General features: G+C 36.4%; 1 pseudogene, besides 2 other annotated features; it reads right to left on the reverse strand.

The window, feature by feature from the left end:
- Nucleotides 21,975-22,080, reverse strand: RNA5SP286 (RNA, 5S ribosomal pseudogene 286; annotated as a pseudogene).
- Nucleotides 22,016-22,517: an enhancer, noted in NCBI's record as "H3K27ac hESC enhancer chr9:76365929-76366430 (GRCh37/hg19 assembly coordinates)". NCBI's record gives its function as "activates a minimal SCP1, AML or CMV promoter by ChIP-STARR-seq in primed H9 embryonic stem cells {active_cell/tissue: H9 hESC(primed)}" and the evidence as "EXISTENCE:reporter gene assay evidence [ECO:0000049][PMID:30033119]".
- Nucleotides 22,518-23,017: an enhancer, noted in NCBI's record as "H3K27ac hESC enhancer chr9:76366431-76366930 (GRCh37/hg19 assembly coordinates)". NCBI's record gives its function as "activates a minimal SCP1, AML or CMV promoter by ChIP-STARR-seq in primed H9 embryonic stem cells {active_cell/tissue: H9 hESC(primed)}" and the evidence as "EXISTENCE:reporter gene assay evidence [ECO:0000049][PMID:30033119]".

A 23,802-nucleotide genomic window follows, 5' to 3' on the forward strand; every position in this document is an offset into this window, starting at 1 on the left:
TATATCCATAGCACAAAGTCATGGGTAAGTCCTGGGAATAGAACCTGAGGGGGTTCCAATATATCGGGCAAAGTGTGCATTATACACATCAGGCATGTGTGACCTATGAGAAATCTACAAGCGAGCATGTTAGCCCACTCTACACGAAGGACCAAATTATACATGATTTTTCACTTTTTTTCCCCATTCCTCCTCCTTAGCCTCAACACATTAAAGAAGGAAGGGGAAAGAAGAAGAGGGAGAGGCACAGTGAAGAAGAAAAGTAGAGTTAAATAGAGTCCTTAGCCACTTGCCCACGATGGGTCTTGTAGCCACGTGTTAGACCTAAGCCGGGGTGAGAAGGGTGCGAGTGAGGAGGGAAAGAAGTTGAACTGAATGCCTTCAAACTTAAATTTGAAAATATTAGGTCTTTAATATTTAAACTGAATTTAAATCATAAAATTGAAAGTATTCCCATAACTGAAAGGCCTGAAAGCAACGGGATCCACTCAAAAAGTAATTAAAGAGAGAGGGAGGTATAATTGAGAGAGCATATTTGAAGACAGTAGTTGAAGAAAAATAAAAACAGTTCTTGTTTACTCTCCACTGCATTCTGTGCCTTCAATATTCCTTTTATGTCTACAGTGCAAAAATATCTACTCTTGCTCTGCCATACATTTTTCTTACTTTCTTCTTCATAACTCCCAATTCCATACATTTGTCCACGTTTACTGAGGTAAAATTCCCATACAATAAATATCCCAATTCAGGTGAATTTTGGCAACCGTGCGCAGTTATGTAAGCACCAGCATAAACAAGCTACAAGACATTTTCAACATTCTGAAAATTTTCCTTGTGCACTTTATTCCCACCCCTGACCCCATCCCCCACAACTACTGATCTGCTTGCTATCACTAGAGTTTCACCTTTTCTAGAGTGTCATATGTATGGAATCACAATGCACGTAGCATTTTGTGTTTGACTCCTTTCACTTAGAAAAATGTTTTCAGATTTGTCTATGTTGCTGCATGTGTCAGTATTTCATGTTTTTTCACGGTTGAGCATAAATATACTGCAATTTGTTTATTCACTCACCAATTGATGAACAGTTGGGTTCCTTCCAAGATTGGATGATTAAGAATAAAGCTCTGTGAACGTTCATATACAAATCTTCGTGTGGATGTATGTTTTTATTTCTCTCGGGTGGGATTGCGCATCATATTGCTAGCATATTCCCTTTATTTTGTGTTTATAATTAAATCCAATATCTATCATTATTGCTTTTACTCCCTTATAGTAGAAATCATCTGCTTCTGAAAATACAAATAATTATACAAAATTGTTCCCTTATCTTAAAATAATGGTTTGTGTGTTTGTTTCTATTTCAAACTTTCTGAAGTATTATAATTACTGAACCTATAGACACCGTTGAGTGGGTCTTTATTTTATAACTGCAGTATCACATTTATTCTAATCAGGTATTTTAGCTGACAAAGAGAATTTGCTTTTGATTAAATGACCTTTGCATGACAAGTTATATGTTTGTTTTTGGTGAATTAATCTATATTCATTAAATGTTTTGAAAAGTATGATAGGAATTGAGCATCATAGAAGTTTGTAGGCTTCCTGAAGACTTAGGTGGCTCAGGAATACTCACAAAGGTTAGAAATAACTTTGCCACAATATGCCCAGGCTGATGTGGTACACTCAGACTGGAAAAGAGGTATTTCTAACTTCCTTCAAGGAAAAATGTTTTGAACTGCTCATGTCATGCCACTTATTAGTTCTCCTACATGGATCATCTTAAGTTGTCTTAAGAAACATGCAAGATATAAATGGTAATCCATTTTTAAATAGGCAAAAACATAACAGTTGGAATGAAGGAGCTAATAAATTACACAACTCTTCCTCTTGCAGGATTTTTGCATTAACTGAGAATGACAGTGGTCACACAGTTGGATGAAGATACAAATGGAACCTTTATTACTAATTATGGCCAGTGCAAATGCATGGATTTGCACTGTTATCTATATGAATTTGCCAATAGTATATACCCGAAATAGACACATGCAAGCTCAAAAACTAGTCCTTTCCTTGGTAGAGCTTTTGCTGCTAAGCTTAAGAGCTCCATAGCAGGCCAAAGCTCAGGCTTTCTGAACTCACAAAGAGAAAGCAGCAGGAACATCTAAGCTACACCAATCAGATAACCAATGTCTTCTCCCCTGGAAAAGTACAAGCAAGTGGGCAGAGCAAAAACAAAAGAAAACAAAATCCTCGTTTCTATATTGAAACATGAAGCTGGGGAAAGTGAATTGCCTGTCTCAAGTTTCTCCAGCTTTACATTCTCATTACCTTTTAGTCTATGTTAGGCAAAAAGTAGGACCATCACTATTAGGGGAAAAATCAGCAGGCTATTAGTACAGCCCTAAGACTATTTTATCAGACTGTTCTTATAATTGTTACTACTGTTTCTGTTTGTATGCTCTTGGGCCCACTATTAGACAACTTTGATTTTGCTGCCAGAAGGCTTGGAAATAAGCCAAAAGGGCACTTTTATGAAATTAACTACAAGGCCACTGTACCCTAGGCTGAACTTCCATTCCCTATTTGATTTCCCATCTCAATTTAAGTCTATCTATGCTGGCCAACACATTTTGAGAGGTCTATTTATTTACCATTTCATCAAATACATGCTGGGAGCCCATGGCAGACACTGTTATAGCACAGGTATTGAACAACAAATAAAGCAATATCCTTGCTTTCATGAAATGTGTATGTTGTAGAAGAGAAACAAAATATACCTATATAAATATAAACCTATAGTGTGTCAGGTTATGATTAATGCAATGGAACAAAAAGCAAGACCCGAGACCAAAGTAGGCCCTCTTTGAAAAAATAACATTAGAGAAAAGACCTGAGGGAAGTAAGAAAGAGTGCTTTGAGGGTGTCTGTGAAAAGTTCATTCAAGATGGAGGAAACAAAGTACAAGGGTACAAGGTGGAGGAAGCAAAGTACAGAGTGAATGACTGGACCAGAGAAGCAAGAAGATGAGATTGAGGAAGTTGAGAAAAGAAATATTACCATACAGCCTGGTAGGCCATAGAAAGTACTTTGGATGTTAATTGGAGTAAAGGTAAAAAGGAAAGCCACTGGAGAATTTGAGCAGAGAGTAAGCCTTATATTTTAAATAAACAGTAAGACTCACGTTTTAAATGAATCATACTGACTTTGATGTGAAAAATAGAATATAATGAGGCAAGTATAGGAATAGTCAGAAACTATTAGAATATTGTAAGGATTTGGTGGCTAGATGAAGATAGTCATAGTAAAGGCAGTTGAGAAGTGGTGAAATCCTGGATATATTTTGAAGATAAGGGGACAGGATACTCCAATTGATTTGTATGGAGGATAAGAGAGAAGAATTTAAAAGTTTTGGACTGAACAATGGGCTAAACAGAGCTGCCATTTATAAGAGGGAGACATACTGTAGGAGAGGTAGGATGGGCAAGGCCGGTAGAGGGGTGGAAATCAGCAGTGTATTTTCAGATATGCAGTATTTGATGCCTATGGTATATCCAAATCAAGATTCTGAAGAGACCATTAGATACACAAGCCTGGAGTTCAGTGGAGAAGTAATGGGACTTTAAAGGAGATGGCCTTTAAAGATGTGAGTCTAGATGAGATCCCATAAGCAATGAATGGAGACAGAGAAAATAACAATACGAATCAAAGAGCCCTAGAACACTTCATCATTTACGGGTTAGATTGAAGAGGGAATCCAGCAATGGAGACTTAGGAGGACCTCAATGTCACATCTGCTTTTTGTCTCAAGTTTCCCAACCTAATAAACCAGCTGAGGCCTGAAGGAGCTGACAAATAGCTCTAAGAGACAGAGGAGTGAGACATATTGAAATAAAAATTATCTGAGAGAGTTGAGAATGTTGCTTAAATATGTACAAACAATGTACTACCTAATTTTGACCCATTGTTACTGAAAATCCACGGGTTTTTGAGGCCAAAGTTTCACCACTAAATTTACTGCAGGATTAAGAACAAAACAGTTCATATTCTCTGTGAAAGCAAACAGATCCTAAAGAGGAGAAAATAGAAGCTGCCACCTTTTCTCCAAACTCACAAATTAGACAAGTCATTGCCATTTCCTAATGCTGATCACTGAGGGTGATTCTGACAACCAGAAAACACGTTTAAGAATATTTGGAAACATTTTTGGTTGACATAAATGGGTTGAGGTGCTATTGGCTTTTTGTGGGTAGAGGCCAAGGGTCCTGCAAAGCACCTAATGCACGAGGTACCCCTCTTCACATGCACACACACAATAAATAATTATCTGGCCCAAAATGCCAATAGTGCCGTGGTTGAGAAACTTTGCCTTACTGGGACTGTTTAGAGAGTTATGCAGAGATGTTTTGCACAGTTATATTTTTAACGCATACGATTTGTTAAGATTTTAATTTGTGTCTTTTTCCCCACTTAGCACTGTTTTATTATGATTATAATTATTATTGTGGTAAAATATACATAACAAAATTTACCACTTTAATCCTTTTTAAGTGTACGCTGTAGTGGCATTAAGCATATTCCTTAAATACATTGTTATTGCATTATTTCACTTACATGAGGTACCTAGGGTCGTCAAATTCAGAGTCAACACTTTTGATACCTTTTTTTCAAGAAATATCACACTTTTAATTTCACATCATGGGATATAATAAAGGGAGTTAGTTACAACATTTTTGGAAAGCTAAAAATGCACACAGAAAAAAAACTGAGATAACCCATATTTAGGAACTATAGCAAGAAGTTATGAAGCTTAGGACTGAAACAACAAAAGGGAAGAAGAAACTAACTGCTTAGAGGAAAGAATTTTGTGGAGCTGGTGCTCAGACCTCTTGGGAGAGGGTGTCATCTAGCTCTTGCTGATACCTCTGAAAGAGCTCAGATTCTGAAGATGCTTTAAAAAAGCTATCAGGTTGGTGCAAAAGTAATTGCGGTTTTTGCCATTTAAAACCTGCAATTACTTTTGCACCAACCAAAGAAATGCCTGGTCTAATTGCTGCTGTTTGAATGCCTCTGAAAAATATAGAAAAAATCAAGAAAACAGGGTGTCTTAATTCATTTAGGCCGCTACAACAAAATGCCATAGACTAGGTGGCTTAACAAACTGGAGACTGGGAAGTCTAAGATCAAGGTGCTGGCAGATTCATGTCTGAAGAGGATCCATTTCCTTATAGACAGTTATCTTCTCACTCCAACCTCACATAGTGGAAAGAGTGCTGGGTCTGTTTTACAAGGGCACTGATCCTATTCCTGAGGACTCTGCCCCTGTGACCTTAACACCTTCCAAAGGCTCCACCTTTTAATGTCATCACCTTGAGGGTGAGGATTTTAACTTATATATTTTGGAGAGACACAAACATTTATACCATAGCACAGGAAACTTTTCATTATCTTTTTATCCCTGCCTGATCATTTATTTTAGTGCCTCCTATCGACAGAGCAGAAGAAAGAAAAATGTCTTTCTGAGATAAGCACTTTGTAAGATCCCAGTTGCAGCACAGCAGAGATTAGAGAACAGGTGTGGAGGTGAATTATGAGTTATATAACAGCATGATACTTGTAACCCATCGCTGTTTGCTACACAACAGACATTATGATTTGCACCCACATATTTTACCTATGGATTCACCTATCACTCTCTCAGGTTGTTCCCAATGAATTGCCACCACAAATTATGTTGTGAAGGTTACTCTAATATATCTAGCTATTAGGTTATAGGTATCTTAAATATTTATTTTACTGAGTAGTTCCAGATTAATCTTTAGATTGTTTGATCTTCTCTAAAATCCTACCAGCTGTCTGTAAATTTGAATCTTCTCATGGCATTTAATTGTAGAAGTATCTCAATGGTTGTGTTTGATCTTTCAGTTTAGAAATCAATTATTTGCAACTACTGAGACCAAAGATTGATTGATCTTACAACCTTTCTTATGTTCAAACTACCTTTTCTCCACCCCTCAGTTTCATCCTTACCAAGAAAACATTCCATGTTTATCATCGTAGCCACTCCCTTGAATACAATGAACCCAGGACCCTTGCCTTGTATTTGTCAGTTGGGTTAAATCCAACTCTGTCCACTGCATGCCTGTGCCCAGGCAGCTGCACACAGCAGAGGAAAACATACAGCCATGGTTATAGGTCTCAATTTAAATCTGGGTCAATAACTCAAGTAGACTGGCTAACAAAAGACATGGAGAGAACATTTACAAAAAATTGCTAACAATATACTAAAATGAACAATCTGATCATGATTAAAGACAAGGAAATTAAAATTACAAGGTTATCATTGTTATCAAACTGGCAAAAGGCTACAATGTTTGATGATACCCAGTGTGGAAAACAAGTATCCTCCCACACTGTTGATTCATTCAATTAATAACGTATACTTGACTGAGTTTCCTCTATATCATATCAGACACCTTTCTAGGAAATAAGAAAACAGCAGGAACCAAAATGGAAAATGCCTGTGATTCAAGAAGTTAACATTTTAGAAGAGAGAAGGGAAGCAAATATATAAAAAATATAATGTCCATTATTAATAAAAAGCAATAAATTAAAGTAAAAGGGTAGGTAGTGATTATTAGAGTGATATTTTCTCATAAAGGGCTCCAGGCATACCTCTCTAAATCAAAAACCTAAATAAAGTGAGGGAGCAAGTTGTGCGAGAGTATGGGACAGGGTACCCCAGACAGATAGGACAGCAAGTGCCAATGTCCGGAGGGAGGGTTATTGGTCTATTGACAATTGTGTGGTTACAGCAAAAGAAATAACAGGGAGAATGGAATTTGATGGGATAAAAGAAGTAGAAAAGTGTCAGGTCAAGAAAATGATAATGAACTTATTTTTAATTAGAATTCTTCTGGATTTTAAAAATTCGTATTCTTCTGGAGTTTATACTTTTGGTCTTAGAAGAAATAGACATTGGTTCAATCGTATTGAAGGGTCATTTAGTAATATCTGTCAAAATCAAAAGGGCAGAAACTCCAACCCAGTAGTTTCAGTTACTGAGGATAATTTCTTATACTCAGAAATATTCTCCTAAGTGTGAAAGTGTGTAAACAAATATGTTTATTTCAGTAATTTGAGTAATAAAAAACGAGGAATAAACTAAATAAGCTACATAATTTCATTTCTCCATATTATATCATTTATTCAAAGCATGACATTCATTCAGTCTTCCAGAAAATATTCACTGAGTGCCTACTACATACGAGGAACTGTGCTGTAACCTTGAAAAACAATGGTTGAAGTCCCTCAAAGATTTTACAGTTTAGTGAAGGAGGCAAATAAATGAATGATAGTTACAAAAAAGTGAGTGTTGCTACAAGATGTGTAAGTATCAGCTGCTGGGGGAAAACACAGAGAGGGCCTCTCTACATATCTCTGCCCAGGCATGTCAACAGAATGCATCCAAACCCACATCTGCTGTTGCAGCTCTCTTCCTCCGTAATTATATATCCAAATGAAGTGTCCCAAGGTCCATCCAGCTGCTCACAGCAGAAAGCTACACACCCAATCACAAACCATACTCTGTAAGTTTTATTACTTAAGAGTTCGTTATCTCATTCATCTCAACTCAAAATCTTTAATTCTGTCCTCATCATTTCTCTCCCTAGATTAATAAAATAGACTCATCTACCTTTTTCAAATTGAGGTTCTTCTGATACATTCTTCTCCCTAGTCCTGGGACTGTCCTTTTAAAAAGGTATACCTGGGCATGATGAAGCCCTGTTTTTTTCTTCTGCAACTCCTCATTTCCTTCAGGATAAAGACCTACCTCATCTATGACCATGATTCCACTTGTATCCTTTCCTTCTAATAATTGTATCGTAATCTGATGAAGAATTGAATTTTGGAGCAATTAAAAAGCAACTATGTTCTTTAAAGAATGTTTTAAATAGTTTCTTTTTTTCATTTATTCATTCAATTAATAAATAGTCATTGAATTTTTAATAATGTACCAGGTACTATGCAAGGGACTATAAGGAGATAGTGAACAAAAAGTAAAAATAATTCCCTAGCCCTTACCCTCAGAGAACTAGCAATCCAATAAAAGATGGATTTCACTTAATTTCCACTTTTTCACTTAATTCAGTGAAAAAGCACAATGATATTAAATGCTTTAATGTGGAAATTTATGATGCTGTAGAAACACTTAACAATTGGATTTTATCACATCAGGATTGGCCAGAGAAGGCATACATAGGAAAGTGACGACTGAGCTTAGATCCAAAGGGTGGTTAGGAGTTTATTAGGTAGAGAGGAGGGAAGAGTGTCTTCCTAACAAAGGGAACAGCTTGTACATGAGCCCCATGGTAGGTGGCAACATAAGAATACTTAGGTCCTGGAAAGGCAATCTAGTTGGAATAGAGAAGAAAAGAGATTCAGGTATAGAGCAGGTTTTGAAGGACCGCTGAAAGGTTTTAAGCAGGGATAGGACAACCTGGGGGACTGAGTCTGGACAGAATAGAATGGAAGGATGAATGCTATAACCAGACGTGTTCTGTAAAGATAACTGACTACCCTGTGGAAAACTGACTGGAAGAGACAGCAGTGACTATGGGGAGACCTTCAGCAGGGTTTTACAAGGGTGGAGGTGTGAGGTGATGACACTGTGCAATGGGATGTACTAGTGTGGATGAAGAAAGGTTGAAACTACGAATATGGTTAGGAAGTAACATTCTGAAAAGTTGTTGGCAAATTAGTTATAGACAGTGAGAATACAGTAGATGTCTTGTTTTCTGATGTGGGTAACCTGGGTGAATGGCGTCACAATTCACTGAGATTAAAAAAAAAACACTATATGTAAAAAATATACTTTACGATGTATCTGTCAGAACCCTTTTTCTCTTTCTCTTTTTAAAATAGCCTTTGGGTTTTTTTTAGAGTAGTTTTAGGTTTGTAGCAAAATTGATAGGAAGTTGCAGAGATTTTCCATATACTCCATGTGCCCACATACACATAGCCTCTCCCGTTATTAATACCCTTTACCAGAGTGGTACCTTGGTTACAATTGATGAGCCTACATTGACATATTATTATCATCCAGAGCCCATCATTTATATTAGGATTCCTTCTTGGCGTTGTACATTCATCCTATGGGTAACAAATGTATAGAATGACATGAATCCATCATTATAGTGACAGAGTAGTTTCACTTTCCTAAACATCCTCTGTGCCCTGCCTATTTATCCCTCTCTCCTCCCTAACCCCTGGCAACCACTGATCTTTTTGTCTCTACCATTTTGCCTTTTCCAGAATGTTATATAGTTGGAATTATACAATATGTTGTTTTTTTCAGACTGGCTTCTTTTATTTATTAATATGCATATAAGTTTACACCATGTTTTTTCATGGCTTGATAGCCTGTTTCTTTTTAGTGCTGAATAATGTTCAATTATCTGGATGTACCACAGCCTATTCATTCACCTAATGGAGGACATTTGAAGCTACTGAAGCAACTTATGTTTGTTTCCAATTTTGGAAATTATGAATAAAGCTTCCATAAACATCCATGTGCTGGCTCTCGTATGGATATAAGTTTCACCTCCTTCAAATAAATACCAAGGAAAATGATTGCTGGATCTTATAAAAGTATGTTTAGTTTTATAAGTAACTGCCAAATAGTCTTTCGTACTGGCTACAGCGTTTTGCATTCCCACCAGCAATGAATGAGAGTGTTCCCGTTGCTCCATGTCCTTGTCAGTATTTGGTATTGTCAGTGTTCTTGATTTTGGCTATTCTAATAGGTCTGCGTGGTGGTATCTCATTTCAATTTGCATTTACCTGATGTCATGTGATGTGGTACATCAATTCATACACTCATTTGTTACCTGTATATCTTCTTCAGTGAGATGTCTGTTAAGGTCTTTGGCCCATTTTTTAATTGGGTTGTTTGTGTTCTTATTGCTGCACTTTAAGAGTTCTTTGTATATTTTGGATATCCATCTTTCATCTGATATGTCTTTTGCAAGTACTTCTCCCAGTCTGTGGCTTACCTTTTCATTCTTTTGATTGCTTGTATGTCAAATGCCAAATAAGGTTAAAACTATATTTGTAAATATTAAACTCAATATTAACCTAATTTTATTCTTTTAACTTGTCTTGTAAGAAATTAAATTAATCAACTATAAAACATTAAAAGCACTTAATGTAAACATTTGTTTGGAAGAGGAACAGGCAAGTAGCCTATCATGGCTTGGCATCTGAACAAACCCACAATCACATCTGAAGTTCACTGGTATGATATGATCCAAACGTAAAATATCTAGAAGATGATGCCAGAACTTTGATTGCTAAACATAGGATTCTTAAACAAGAGTGATGACTTAGAGACAAACTTATGTCTTGAGCTCTGTATGCCAAGAGTTTAAAGACGGAGCTGAGGATTGAATTGATTAATATGTCAGCTCTTATTAAGGCAGTTTAAACCTCTCAAATGATGGTGGTTTTAGGAGATATGTTTTGCTTCTAGGGAATCCACAGTTGCATTAAGCACAAAATGAATTACAATGAATGTTCCTCATGTTGCCACTTAAAAAAACTATAATCTGTTTGAAGGAAAAATTTAATTTCCAAATCCAAAGGCAAAAGCATCCTATAAGTTAACAGTATCAGGCCAGGTGCAGTGGCTCAAGCCTGTAATCCCAGCACTTTAGGAGGCCGAGGTGGGTGGATTACCTGAGGTCAGGAGTTCAAGACCAGCCTGGCCAATGTGGTGAAACCCCATCTCTACTAAAAAAAAAAAAAAAAAAATACAAAAATTAGCTGGACGTGGTGGCGCACATCTGTAATCTCAGCTACCCAGGAGGCTGAGGCAGGAGAATCGCTTGAACCCAGGAGACGGAGGTTGCAACGAGCCGAGATCACGCCACTTCACTCCAGCCTATGTGACAGAGCAAGGCTTCATCTCAAAAAACAATAAAAAAAAAAAAAATAACTTAACAGTATCAATGGTAAAGATTTTGCAAATGGGTATTACATTTCTGGAAAAAGTTTTGAAAAGTAATTTAAATTTTGATATGGAATCATTCTTCTATGTTAAAGAAGCTGAACATAAAAATTATTTGAGACTAATTTTAGATTCTTCTGGAAGAATGGATAAGGTGAGCTAAAGTGAGGGAAAATAACTTATGCTGCTGCTGATGACTATGATGATACTGATGTTGATAATAACAATGAATAATAAAAAGGAGTTTCCTAGGTGCCAGAGTACTGTACATGAATTAGGTTATGAATCTTCCCAAGAACATTTGGGGTAAGGTACTGTTGTTATTTTTATTTTACAGATGAGGAAACTGAGGCACAGAGACATTAAGCCTCACTAATTGCCTTAGGTGACATTGCTTGTGTTGGTGAGCAGGGTCTTGAATCCAAGAAATCTAACTTCAGAATGTGTGATCTGAACCATTATCATTCCTATTAATCATAACTTTAAGAATTGATTAACTTTTCTGGTGTTATTATCTGTTAGAAGTTTTAAACGGAAATGAGGAAAGGGACAAAACATTCCTTTCTTTGATGTATCCTACTGAGAAAACCCTGAAAAAAAAGTAAACAAAAAACACTCTACTAATGCAAGCTTGAGGTGATTTTGACCCCTTCAAGTCAAAATCTCCCCTATAATTCACTACTAGGCAGGGATTCTAGTAGAATTCAGAACATAAATATTTAAATGCAATAATTGAAAATTTAGAGTTGACTTTTTATCTCTGTGGTACACTCTGCACTGTGAACTGAAACGCAAAATCATGCTGAGAAGAATTTACAAATGACTTTTCCTCTGGAAAAAAAGAAAAAAATGCAAATTGTTGCAAAATCCTAAATGTAACATATAATTCCCAAAGGTGGCTTTGGGCTGTTCTTCTTTACACTGTTAACCTGAGCTCATTAATTAGCGTTTCATTATTTTTTTTGTTCCTGGGGAGATGAGGTTACAGTGTGGTGTAGTGGAGACAAGAAAGGCAGTTCAATTCCACCATTTAGCAGCTACATGACTTGAGTCAGTGATGCTCAAGGGGTAACTTTCCTATTCCTTGCTAGCCTCACATGCAAAATGAAGGTTTTAATTGTTACTATAGCCAATCATTGTTGCGAAGATTACATAAAGCTCTTAAAACAGAGCCTGACACATAATAAATGTTCAAAAGGTGGTAACAATTACTTTCATTCTCTGACCTTAAAATAGCAGATTGTTAGTGTCTACAAACAAGGACAATATTTATGTATTAATGAATCCTGACTTTTGGAGAAAATGAAAATGTGTCTTTTAGATTTCCAAACTTTTAAAGAAAGCATTATTGGTATTATAAAATACAGCTGGTTATTTAAATTTAGCTATTTTATTTTTTAATTAAAAATCTCTCATGGGTTATATTGACTACAAACAGGGTAAAGAGAGACTGTTTTCCAGACAGCAGCCTGGAGGCTATTGCCAAATGGGTACCCATGATCCCAGGCTGTGCACTAACTCTCTATGACTGCTTTGTGTCAAAGCAAAAGAGTAATTGACATGCTAGTTAACACAGGCTGAAAAATGACCTTGATTTTCACATTGTCCCTGGCTTAGCTAGATAGTTAAATCTGCCATCTTTTACCTGTTTAAATAAAGGCCATAAAATACTATTTTAAAACAAAACCAGTAATATCCTCACGGATTTATCCTGAGCAAATACTTCAAATGTTTATATTACTCATTTTTAGTATTGTAATTTTGTTTACTGATATGAGTACGTATGAATACAATTTCTCAGATAGTTTGCCTCTGTTCCAGATAAAATGCAATATATACATATGTGTATTAATGTATAGCTATATATATATGTGTGTATGTGTGTGTGCATACAGCATTTAAGTGCTTTTTTTGGTAAAATGAACATAAACTCAAAAGACATTATTATAATATTCATTATTCCACTCAAACCTACATACCAGGAATTCTGACATTTTACTGCTAAAATAAATGGTTTTTGTTTGTTTGTTTTTAGAGCACTTAATTTAATGACTTAATCATTTGTCTTTTTTCTTCTATGGCCCAAATTCCATATTTTATGGTAGTTTTCTCGTTGGTTTATATACATGAACCAAATTTTTTTTTTTTTTTTTTGAGACAGGGTCTCATTCTGTTATCCAGGCTGGAATGCAGTGGTATGATCTTGGCTCACTGCAGTCTCAACCTCATGGGCTGAAGTGATCCTCCACCTCAGACTCCTGGATAGCTGGGACTACAGATGTGCGCCATCACACCTGGCTAATTTTTTATAGAGATGGAGTTTTGCCATATTGCCCAGGTTAGTCTTGAACTCCTGAGCTAAAGCAATCCACCCACTTTGGCTTCCCAAAGTGCTGGGATTATAGATGTGAGTCACTGTGCCCAGCCAGAATTCTTACGGATAAGGTATAATGAAATTTTTCTAGTATGAGATTTATAAGGCCAAGAACTTACTATCTTAATATTTTCCCCTGAAAATAACACATTAGCCAACCATATTTACATATATCTTTATATCTCTGATCTCTTTGGCATCATCTTATGTGTTCCTGGTCACTGGGTGCTGCTGCTGAAGTCTACAGCTAATAAATTTATAATTGGATTTCTTGCTGGCAGGGCCTTTGCTGGCATGTAAAATCTAGCAGAAAGCAAATATTTTATTACACGATATTACATATCATCATCATTGCATCAGATGTGAATTGGAAACAAACTTGAAAATATTCATGCTCTTAATATACTAGTAAATTTGACACGAGGTAGTTTAAATTTTTTAGCTAAATTTTTGTCATAGTATCTATTACCAACTTTGCCTAGTAATTTTTAATCTTTGTTTTAATAGCAAAATAAATAAAGCACTAAAAAGAATACATTTAACATTGTTAATAGACCTGAATAAGCAAATATTTAAAATAGCATTTTTGTGGATAGTTATTAGGCATATACTGTTAGCATTCATAGAAACATCAGACATGATTTAGACCAAGAGAAGCGAACTCAAAGAGGCAAATTACCCAACAAGTGATGTAATAGCAGGTAAGTGGCCCTACTAAAAGGTGAGGTAGAGACTGTGGCAAACAGCAGAGTTCATGCCCCTGGAGAAGGGACAACTTCTATTCGGTTCCAGTTAATTGTTGCCAAACAGACATGGCAGCTCAATATGGCCAGTTCATTCAATGTTTTGAAAGAGCGATAACTTTTGATTTTATGTGAAATCACATTTTGAGAATTGGCAACTAATTTTAAAAAATAAACACTGTGAGTGCTAAAGAAAGTAAAGCAAAACAAAATATTCACAGGCCTGATAAAACTCATAGTCTGACAGTTACTCATCCTTTTTAGAATAACATGTTATTGTCAAACATGAGGTTACTGATGCCCAGAGAAATTTAGTAACTCACCCAAAGTTAAAAATTACATTATGGCAACCTAGGTTATCCCAAATTACCATATTCTCCTAGTATGAATTCATATACTTACCCTATCATTCCTGAAACAATTTGTAATTAGGTTATAGCTATCCAACCTGAATTAAGTAATTTTGCATGTGTATGTGTTGCACACTTGTATGTTGGTTAAGTACTTTTATATACATTGTGCTGAGTTCCTATACATTGCCTCATTTAATTCTCTCAATTAGCATCTTCATATGAGAAAGAAAACCTGGAAACCAAATCCTCGTGTACTATAAAACAATGAATAAAAAAGAGTATCAGGAACAAAGTAAGGAAGTTGTTAAGTTTAGGACCTAGAATTGGCTCTAATATGCTCTTTAGGTGAAAGCTTGTTATATTTTTCATACGTGGAATTCATTAATTTCTTATCTGAAAGCAGAATTTGGTAATTATCAATAATTAACCTCCATAAAGTTACTGCTGCTGATTATTTAACCTATCTTTATGTTGATTTGCTTTGATGACTAAGAGTTAACCAAGCTGAGGCAGTTATAATGTATCTTTTCTTCTGTAAGAACAAGTCACCCTTCAATGATTCATTCATATATTCCCATCTTAATAGCCTTCTTACTTAAGGCTTCATCATTGGTCTGCTTCTCTAGTAAATACTGTATACTCACTTATGTCATCATTTAGACAATCTCTCAAACTTTAAGTTAATTTTTTATCATACATTTTCTTAACTCATCAAAATATGCATTATATTGATTTTCAATTAATTTATGTTGAAATGAATGAGATAAAAATGTGGAAAAAATGTTATCTAAAATGAAACAACAGTATAGGATGATTAACATGATTAACGTATTAGTCAATTTAAAATTCCACTGCTATATTGCCATAGCTATGGAAATGTTGTGATATGTTCATTCTACTAAATCCTAATATTTAAATGTGTTTCCTGGAGTATTGTGTTAGGCCATTCTTGCATTGCTATAAAGAAATACGAAAGACTGGGTAATTCACAAAGAAAAGAGGTTTAATTGGCTCACGCAGTTCCACAGCTGTACAGGAAGCATGATGCTGGCATCTGCTTGGTTTCTCAGGAGATCTCAGGAAACTTACCATCATGGCAGAAGGCAAAGTGGGGGCAGGCAACTCGCATGGCCAGAGTAGACGGGAGAGAAGCAGAGAGGTGCCATACACTTTTAAATGACCAGATCTTGTGAGAATTCACTATCATTAGAAGAGCACAAAGAGGATTGTGCTAAACTGCTCATGAGAAATCCACCCCCATAATCAAATCACCTCCCACCAGGCCCTGCCTCTAACATTGCAGATTATAATTCAGCATGAGATTTGGATGGGAACACATATCCAAACTATACCAGGTATGAATCAACTACACATAAAAATACAAACTTTGCAGTCACAACTTCATAGCACAGAACAATACCTCACACCCAATTTGCAAATCACAAAATTTGCTGTATGGTATATACTTTCTGGTATATAGTCTACAGGTATTGCTGAGAAACACTCTTGGTATTGTTAAATGACTGGTAAAAGTAATGCTTAGGAATTTCTCTCCCATTATAGAATTATTTGCTATTCATACAATATTATGGCTCATAACAACGTCATTTGGTATTCAAGCATGTCATATGGTCCTTCGTAGGTGTTCATACACACCTAAAATTAATTACTCTTTTTCCTCTTTTTGATGATAATTTAATGTGAAATACATTTGCACTAACAGAGCATCTACAATCCACCTGGTACGTGGGAACAAACACCATTCTCTAGCATCTGGATTATTAAGGCAAAGAGTTGTCTTTATAAAATTGTAATCTGGTTATGAGGATGAGCAAAAGCCTACAGAAAAATTGCATACCATTATAATTAGGATTCACTTAAATTAATATGAACTATATAAGTGAGATTTTGAAATGTAATATTGAGTGAAATAAAACGTGAGATGATGAAGTTTGAAGCTATTTATGTAACCTTAACATAAAAACACACATAACAATAATAAAACTTTGTAAGATTATAGCCACATACACACACATATATAATATACACGCATATAGTACCTAAAAATAGATTGGAAGGGTTGAGGTTTTTTTTTTTAAATTTCAACTTTTATTTTAGATAAATGGAGATGTACAGGTTTTTTACGTGAGTATACTGAGTAATGCTGAGGTTTGTGGTACAAATCCCATCACCCAGATAGTGAGCATAGTACACAATAGGTAGTTTTTCCACCCATGCTCACCTCCCAGATCTCCCTCTCTAGTAATCTGAACTATCTATTGTTCCCATGCTTATGTCCATGTGGTACTCAATGTTTTTTTCCCCACTTATAAGTGAGAACACGTGGTATACTGCTTTCTGCTCTTGCACTAATTCACTTAGAATAATGGCCTCCAGTTGCATGCATGTTGCTATAAACAATGTGATTTCATTATTTTTTATGGCTGCGTGGTATTCCATGGTATATAGGTACCATATTTTCTTTATCCAATCCACCATTAATGGGCACCTAGGTTGATTCCATGTCTTTGCTATGGTTAATAGTGTGGTGATGAACATACAAGTGTATGTGTCCTTTGGATAGAATGATTTATTTTTATTTGGATGCATACACAGTAATGAGAGTGCTGGGTTGAATGGTAGCTCCATTTAAGTTCTTTGTGAAATCTCCACACTGCTTTCCACAGTGGATGAACTAATTTATGCTCCCACCAACAGTACATAAGTGTTCCCTTTTCTCTGCAGCCTCTCCAGCATCTGTTGTTTTTTGACTTTTTAATAATGCCATTCTGACTGATGCGAGATGGTGTCTCATTCTGGTTTGCATTTGCATTTCTATGGTGATTAATGATAATTAGCATTTTCTCATATGTTGTTGGCCACTTGTAAGTCTTCTTTTGAGGAATGTCTGTTCATGTATTTTGCCCATTTTTAGTGGAGTTATTTGTTTTTTGCTTGTTGATTTCAGTTTCTTATAAATTCTTGATATAAGACCTTTGTTAGAAGCCTAGTTTGTGAACATTTTCTCCCATTCTGTAGGTTGTCTGTTTACTCTGTTGATGATTTCTTTTCCTGTCCAGAAGCCCCCCTTTATTTTTTGAGATGAAGTCTCACTCTGTCATCAAGGCTGCAGGGCAGTGGCGTGGTCTTGGCTCACTGCAACCTCCATCTCCCCGATTCAAGCAATTCTCCTGTCTCAGCCTCCCTGGAAGCTCTTTAGTTTAATTAGATTCCACTTGTGAATTTTGTTTTTCTTGCAATTACTTTTGGGGACTTAGCCAAAAATCATTTGCCAAGGCCAATGTTGAGAAGGAGATTTCCTAGGTTTGCTTATAGCATTTTATAGCTTGAGGTCTTCTATTTAAGTCTTTAATACATGATGGGATAATTTTTGTAGATGCTAAAATGTTAGGGTCCAGTTTCATTCTTGTGTATATGGCTAGCCAGTTATCCCAGCACCATTTATTGAATACAGTGTCCTTTTCTCCATTACTTGTTTTTGTTGACTTCATAAAATATCAGATGGTTGTAGTTGTGTGGCATTATTTCTGAGTTTTCTATTCTGTTCCATTGGCTTATATATCTGTTTTTGTACCAGTAGCATGCTGTTTTGGTTACCGTAGCTGTATAATATAACTTGAAGTTGGGTAGTTTGATGCCTCAGGTTTGGTCTTTTTGCTTAAAATTGCTTTTAGTATTTGGGCCCTCTTTTGGTTCTATATGAATTATAGAATTTTTTTCTGATTCTATGAAGAATGACATTGGTAGTTTGATAAAAATAGCATTGGCTCTGTAAATTACTCTGGGCAGCATTGCCATCTTAATGATATTGATTCTTCCAATCCATGAGCATGGAATGTTTTTCCATTTATTTGTGTCATCTCCGATTTCTTTCAGCAGTATTTTACAATTCTCCTTGTAGAGATTTTTCATCCCCTTAGTTAGATATATTCCTAGATATTTCATAATCTTTCTGGCTATTGTAAGTGTGGTTGTGGTTTTGATTTGACTCTCAGCCTGGACATTATTGGTGTACAGAAATGCTGCTGGTTTTTCTACATTGATTTTGAATCCTGAAACTTTACTAGAGTCATTTATCACTTCTAGGAGCCTTTGGTAGAGTCTTTAGGGTTTTCCAGGTATAGAATCATATTATTGGTGAAGATAGATAATTTGACTTCTTTTTCTATTTAGAGGCGTTTTATTTCCTTCTCTTGCCTGATTGCCCTGGCTAGGACTTCTAGCACTATGTTGAATAGGGATAGTGACAATGGGCATCGTTGTCTTGTTCTAGTTTCTAGGGGGAATGCTTCTGGCTTTTGCCTGTTCAGTATGATGTTAGCTGTGGGTTTGTCATAGATGGCTCTTATTATTTTGAGATGTGTTCTTTTGATGTTGCATCTGTTGAGGGTTTTTATCATGAAGAAATGTTGGATTTTATGGAAAGCTTTTTTTGTACCTATTGAGATGATCATATGGTCTCTGTTTTTAATTCTGTTTATGTGGTGGATCACATACATTGATTTGTGTAGGTTGAACCAGCCTTGCATCCCAGGAATAAAGCCTACTTGATCATGGTGAATTTGGATTTTTGATATGCTGCTAGATTCATTTTGCTAGTATTTTGTTGAAGATTTTTGTATCTATGTTAACATGGGTATTGGCCTGAAGTTTTCTTTTTTCTTTGCGTCTATTCCAGACTTTGGTTTCAGGCTGATGCTGGCTTCATAAAATAAGTTAGAGAGGCGCTCCTCCTCCTCAATTTTTGGGAACAGTTTCTGTAGGATTGGACCAGCTCTTCTTTTTATGTATGGTAGAATTCAGCTGTGAATCCATCTGTTCCAGGGCTTTTTTTGGTTGGTAGATTTTTTATTACTGATTCAGTTTCAGAGCTTGATATTGGTCTGTTTAGGATTTCAATCTCTTCCTGATTTAATCTTGAGAGATTGTATGTTTCCAGGAATTTATCCATTTCCTCTAAATTTCTTAATTTTTGTACTTAGAGTTATTCATATTATTCTCCAAGGATCTTTTGTATTTCTGAGGAATTAGTTATAATGTTATCTTTGTCATTTCTGATTGTCCTTATTTTAATCTTCTCTTTTTTTCTCTTTTAATCTAGCTAGTTGTGTATTATTCTGGCTATTTTTTTTTCAAAAAACAAGCTCTTGTTTTCATTGATCTTTTGTATGGATTTGTACATCTCAATTTTCTTCAGCTCTTCTCTAATTTTAGTTGTTTTTCTTCTACTAGCTTTGTTCTTTTTTTTCTAGTTTCTTTAGGTGCAAATTAGATTGTTTAGATCTTTCTAATTTCTTGATGGTGTTTAGTGTTACAAACTTTCCTCTTGACATTACTTTAGCTGCATTCTAGAGAGTTTGGTAAATTATGTCACTATTTTTTTAGTTTCAAATAATTTTTTGATTTCTGCCTTAATTTTCATGTTCGCTCAAGGAGTTATTCAGGAATAAGTTGTTTAATTTCCATGTATTTGTTTAGTTTGGGGAGATCTTGATATTGATTTCAATTTTTATTGCACTTTGGCCCAAGAGTGTGCTTGGTATTATTTCAATTAGAAAATGATTTTATTGAGACTTGCTTCATTGTTCAGCATGTAGTCAATCTTAGAATATGTTTTGTGTGCAGATAAGAAGAATGTATTTTTTATGGAGTTTAGTAGAGTGTTCTATAGATTACTATTAGGTCCAATTGATCAAGTGCTAAGTTTAAGTCCAGAGTTTCCTTGTTAGTTTTCTGCCTCAGTGATCTGTTTAATGCTGTCAGTAGGGGGTTGAAGTCTCCCATTATTATTGTGTGGTTCTCTAAGTGTTTTCACAGGTCCAGAATGACTCGTTTTATGAATCTGGGTATTCCATTATTGGGCATGTATATATTGAGGATACCTAAGTCTTCTTGTTGGATTATCACTTTATCATTATACAGTGCCTTTCTTTGTCCGTAATTTTAATTGATTTATAGTCTGCTTTATCTGATATAAGAATAGCAACTCCTGCTCTTTTTTTTCCCATTTTCATGGTAGATCTTTCTCCATCCCTTTACTTTGAGCCTGTGGGTGTCAGTGTCAATATGTCTGAGATGGGTCTCTTGAAGATAGCAGATTGTCGGGTCTTGGCTTTGTCTCCAGCTTGCTCCTCTATTTATTTTAAGGAACTGTTTAGGCCATTTCCATTGATAATTAGTATTGATATGTCAAATTTGATCTTGTCATTGTGTTGTTAGATGGTTGTTATGTAGACTTAATCATGTAGCTGCTTTATAGTGCCTGTGGGCTATGTTCTTAAGTGTCTTTTTGTGGTAGTAGGTGTTGTTGTTTTGTTTTCTGGCTTAGCTTTCCCTTAAAGACCTCTTGTATGGTTGGTCTACCTGAAAAAATTTCCCTCAATGTTTGCTTGTCTGAGAAAGATTTTATTTCTCTTTCACTTACAAAGCTTAGTCTGCAGGATATGAAATTCTTAATTGGAATTCCTTTTCTTTAAGGATGCTGAAAATAGGATTCCAATCATTTTTGTCTTTTAAGATTTTTGCTGGGACTCCCTTTGTACATAACCTGATCCTTCTCTCTAACTGCCCTTAAGAAGTTTTTTCCATTGACCTTGGGGAATCTATGTGGTCTGTGGATGGACCTCTTGTATAGTATGTAGCCAGGAATACCTGTATTTCTTGAATTTGAATGTCAACATCTCTAGCAAAATTAGTAAAATTTTCATGGCCTACATCCTCAAATATATTTTTCAGGTTGCTTATTCTCTCTCCTTCTCTCAGGAATGCCAATGAATCAGATTTCGTCTCTTTACAAAATCCCATATTTATCAAAAATTCTGTTTATTTTTTAATTTTTGTCCAGCTGATTTGATTTAAAGAACTGATCTTTGAGCTCTGAGTTTCTTTCCTCATCTTGGTCTATTCTACTATTGACACTACTGATTGTATTATAAAAGTCTTTTAGTTTTGTAGCTCTGGAAGTTCAGTTTGGTTCTTTCTTGAAATGGCAATTTTTCTTTCCACTCTTGGATTATTTTACTGGATTCCTTAGACTCCTCGGATGGGGTTTCAAGTTTCTCCTGAATCTTGATGAGCTTCTTTGCCATCCAGATCCTGAATTCTATGTATGTTATTTCAGTCATTTCAGACTGGCTGAGAACAACTGCTGTAAGCTAGTGGACTTGTTTGGAGGTAGAGGGACACTGGCGTTTTAGGAATTCTTGCACTAATTCTTTCTCTTCTAGGAGGATTGGTGTCCCTTAAACTGAGGCATACATTGATTACAGTCAGTAGGCTTCATTTCTTGATGTTTTCAGAAGTCCAGGGCTTTGTACAGGATCATTTGAGGCTGAATTATTGTCCTTGGTTTCATAGAGAGGTATATTAGCAAAATATTTTTGGTATTATAGTTTGGACTATGATCCAGTAGATGGCACTTAATAGTAACGGGTGAGATGAGATCCAGTGCGTTCAGCGTGGTATGGCCGTAGACAAACCTACAGCACCTAGTATTCCCAGGTGGTCTCCCATCCAAGTACTAACCAGGCCCAACCCTACTTAACTTCGGAGATCAGAGGAAAAAAAAAATGGGTGGCAGGTAGGGTTTTATTCAGCCATGTGGCTCCTTTGTATCTCCTCATGTTTGCAGCCATGTTCTGTGGTGCAGGGGGTAGAGAGCTGATACCCTCACCAGGTCAGCTCCTGGGTCTTGGGGAGCACCCTCCAATCACTGGCACTGCACCCACATTTCTTCTGTTAGGTGTCCAGTCTGCAGGGATCCCTTGGCAGAGACCACAGGAAGGAAATAGGCAGGCCCTACAGAGGGAGACATGCCCTGCTCCCATTCCAGCCCACGAACCTGCACGTCTCACTCCTCTCAGTCCTCTGAGAGTATGGACTCCTCTCCTGCTTGAGTGCCAGTCATAGATATTGGCTCAACATTCCCAAACTATGTGCCACAGACCTGGGACGCTGGGATTGGCTCACAGATCCATCCTCTGGACTGTTGCAGATGAGTTCACGGTATGCTGGGGAATTCAAAGTGCTCCCAGACCACTGGGAAAGTAATCAGGTAGAGCAAATCACCAAGGCTGGGCAGCAGAGGCTGTGCTATGCTCATACTCCTGCAGGGTGGCCAGATAGTGACTCTGAAGAGGGCTGGAGGGCAAGAGGCCAAGAGGGCCTAGAGAACAGATGTGTCCCAGTCCCATGAGGAAGTTGGCTCTGCTCTCTCCTGGCCTAGCAGTCAGCTGGGCTAGAGCTTCTTGGAGGAAGATGGAGAGCCTTGGGGAATGGGAGCCTATGGCCACACTCCACCAGAGCTGCACCATTCACAGAGGCCAATGGTTCCACACTGGCTGAAACCATGTCTCTGCTTACTCTCTGGGAAAATCTCTCTGTCAGCTCAAACATCGATGGACCACATGGGGCCTCCTGTAGCCATAATCCCAGAGGTCTGTGGAGAGGATAGGCAGTACCACAGTCCCTTCACTCAATCATTCCTCAGGGGCATTTCAAGGCTAGGAACTAGATTCAGTGTTTGGGTACCCCATGCAGGGTTCCCAGATTCCTCTCTCCTTAAACTCAGTGTCTGCATCTCCATCCATTTTCAGTGTTTTCTCTCTGAAGATCTGTCCAAGTTATTAATATACTGGCTTACTCAAAACCTTGGTCTCTCTCAGTTGGAGCAGCACCTCCTGGCTGTGTCTAGTTGACGATCTTGTTACCCTCCTTTCCCAGAAAAGATTAAATTACACTCATGGTAAGGATTATTTGAAAAGGGAGAAGGAGATATGGGTTTAGCATGATAATAAAAGGGGACTTCAGATATATCTACATCTATGTATCTATCAATCTATTATCTATCTATCTATTTTAAAAGACTAGAAACAACTATATGAATATGATAATAGTTAATTCTTGACCATAGGAATATATATTTATAACTTTTATGTTTTTACAACTCTAAAACCATACAACTTTCAGAAACTTCAGTCCTATTATTTCCACGCAAGTTTTTGTTAGAACTAAAATAACTCAATAGCACTAAAAGTAACCAGACAATAGTTAGACATATCTTTAGCTATGGCCATGAAAACATCTTTGTACGAAGCTGTATCCAGATCAATCTCTCTAATGTGATATTTTGGACTTTATGTAGTAAAGGTTGGAGACTCAGATATGGTAATGCCTTTCTTGCACCTAAATATTTATAAAAGATAAAAATATACTAGTTGCAAGAAAAAATTTTAAATGTCATAACACTTAGGAAGCCTGAACTCTCACTCAAGCCATGCTTTCACTCTTGTACACTGGGAGGTG

The sequence above is a fragment of the Homo sapiens genome, chromosome 9, assembly GCF_000001405.40.
Source record: "Homo sapiens chromosome 9, GRCh38.p14 Primary Assembly".
NCBI classification, from domain to species: Eukaryota; Metazoa; Chordata; class Mammalia; order Primates; family Hominidae; genus Homo; species Homo sapiens.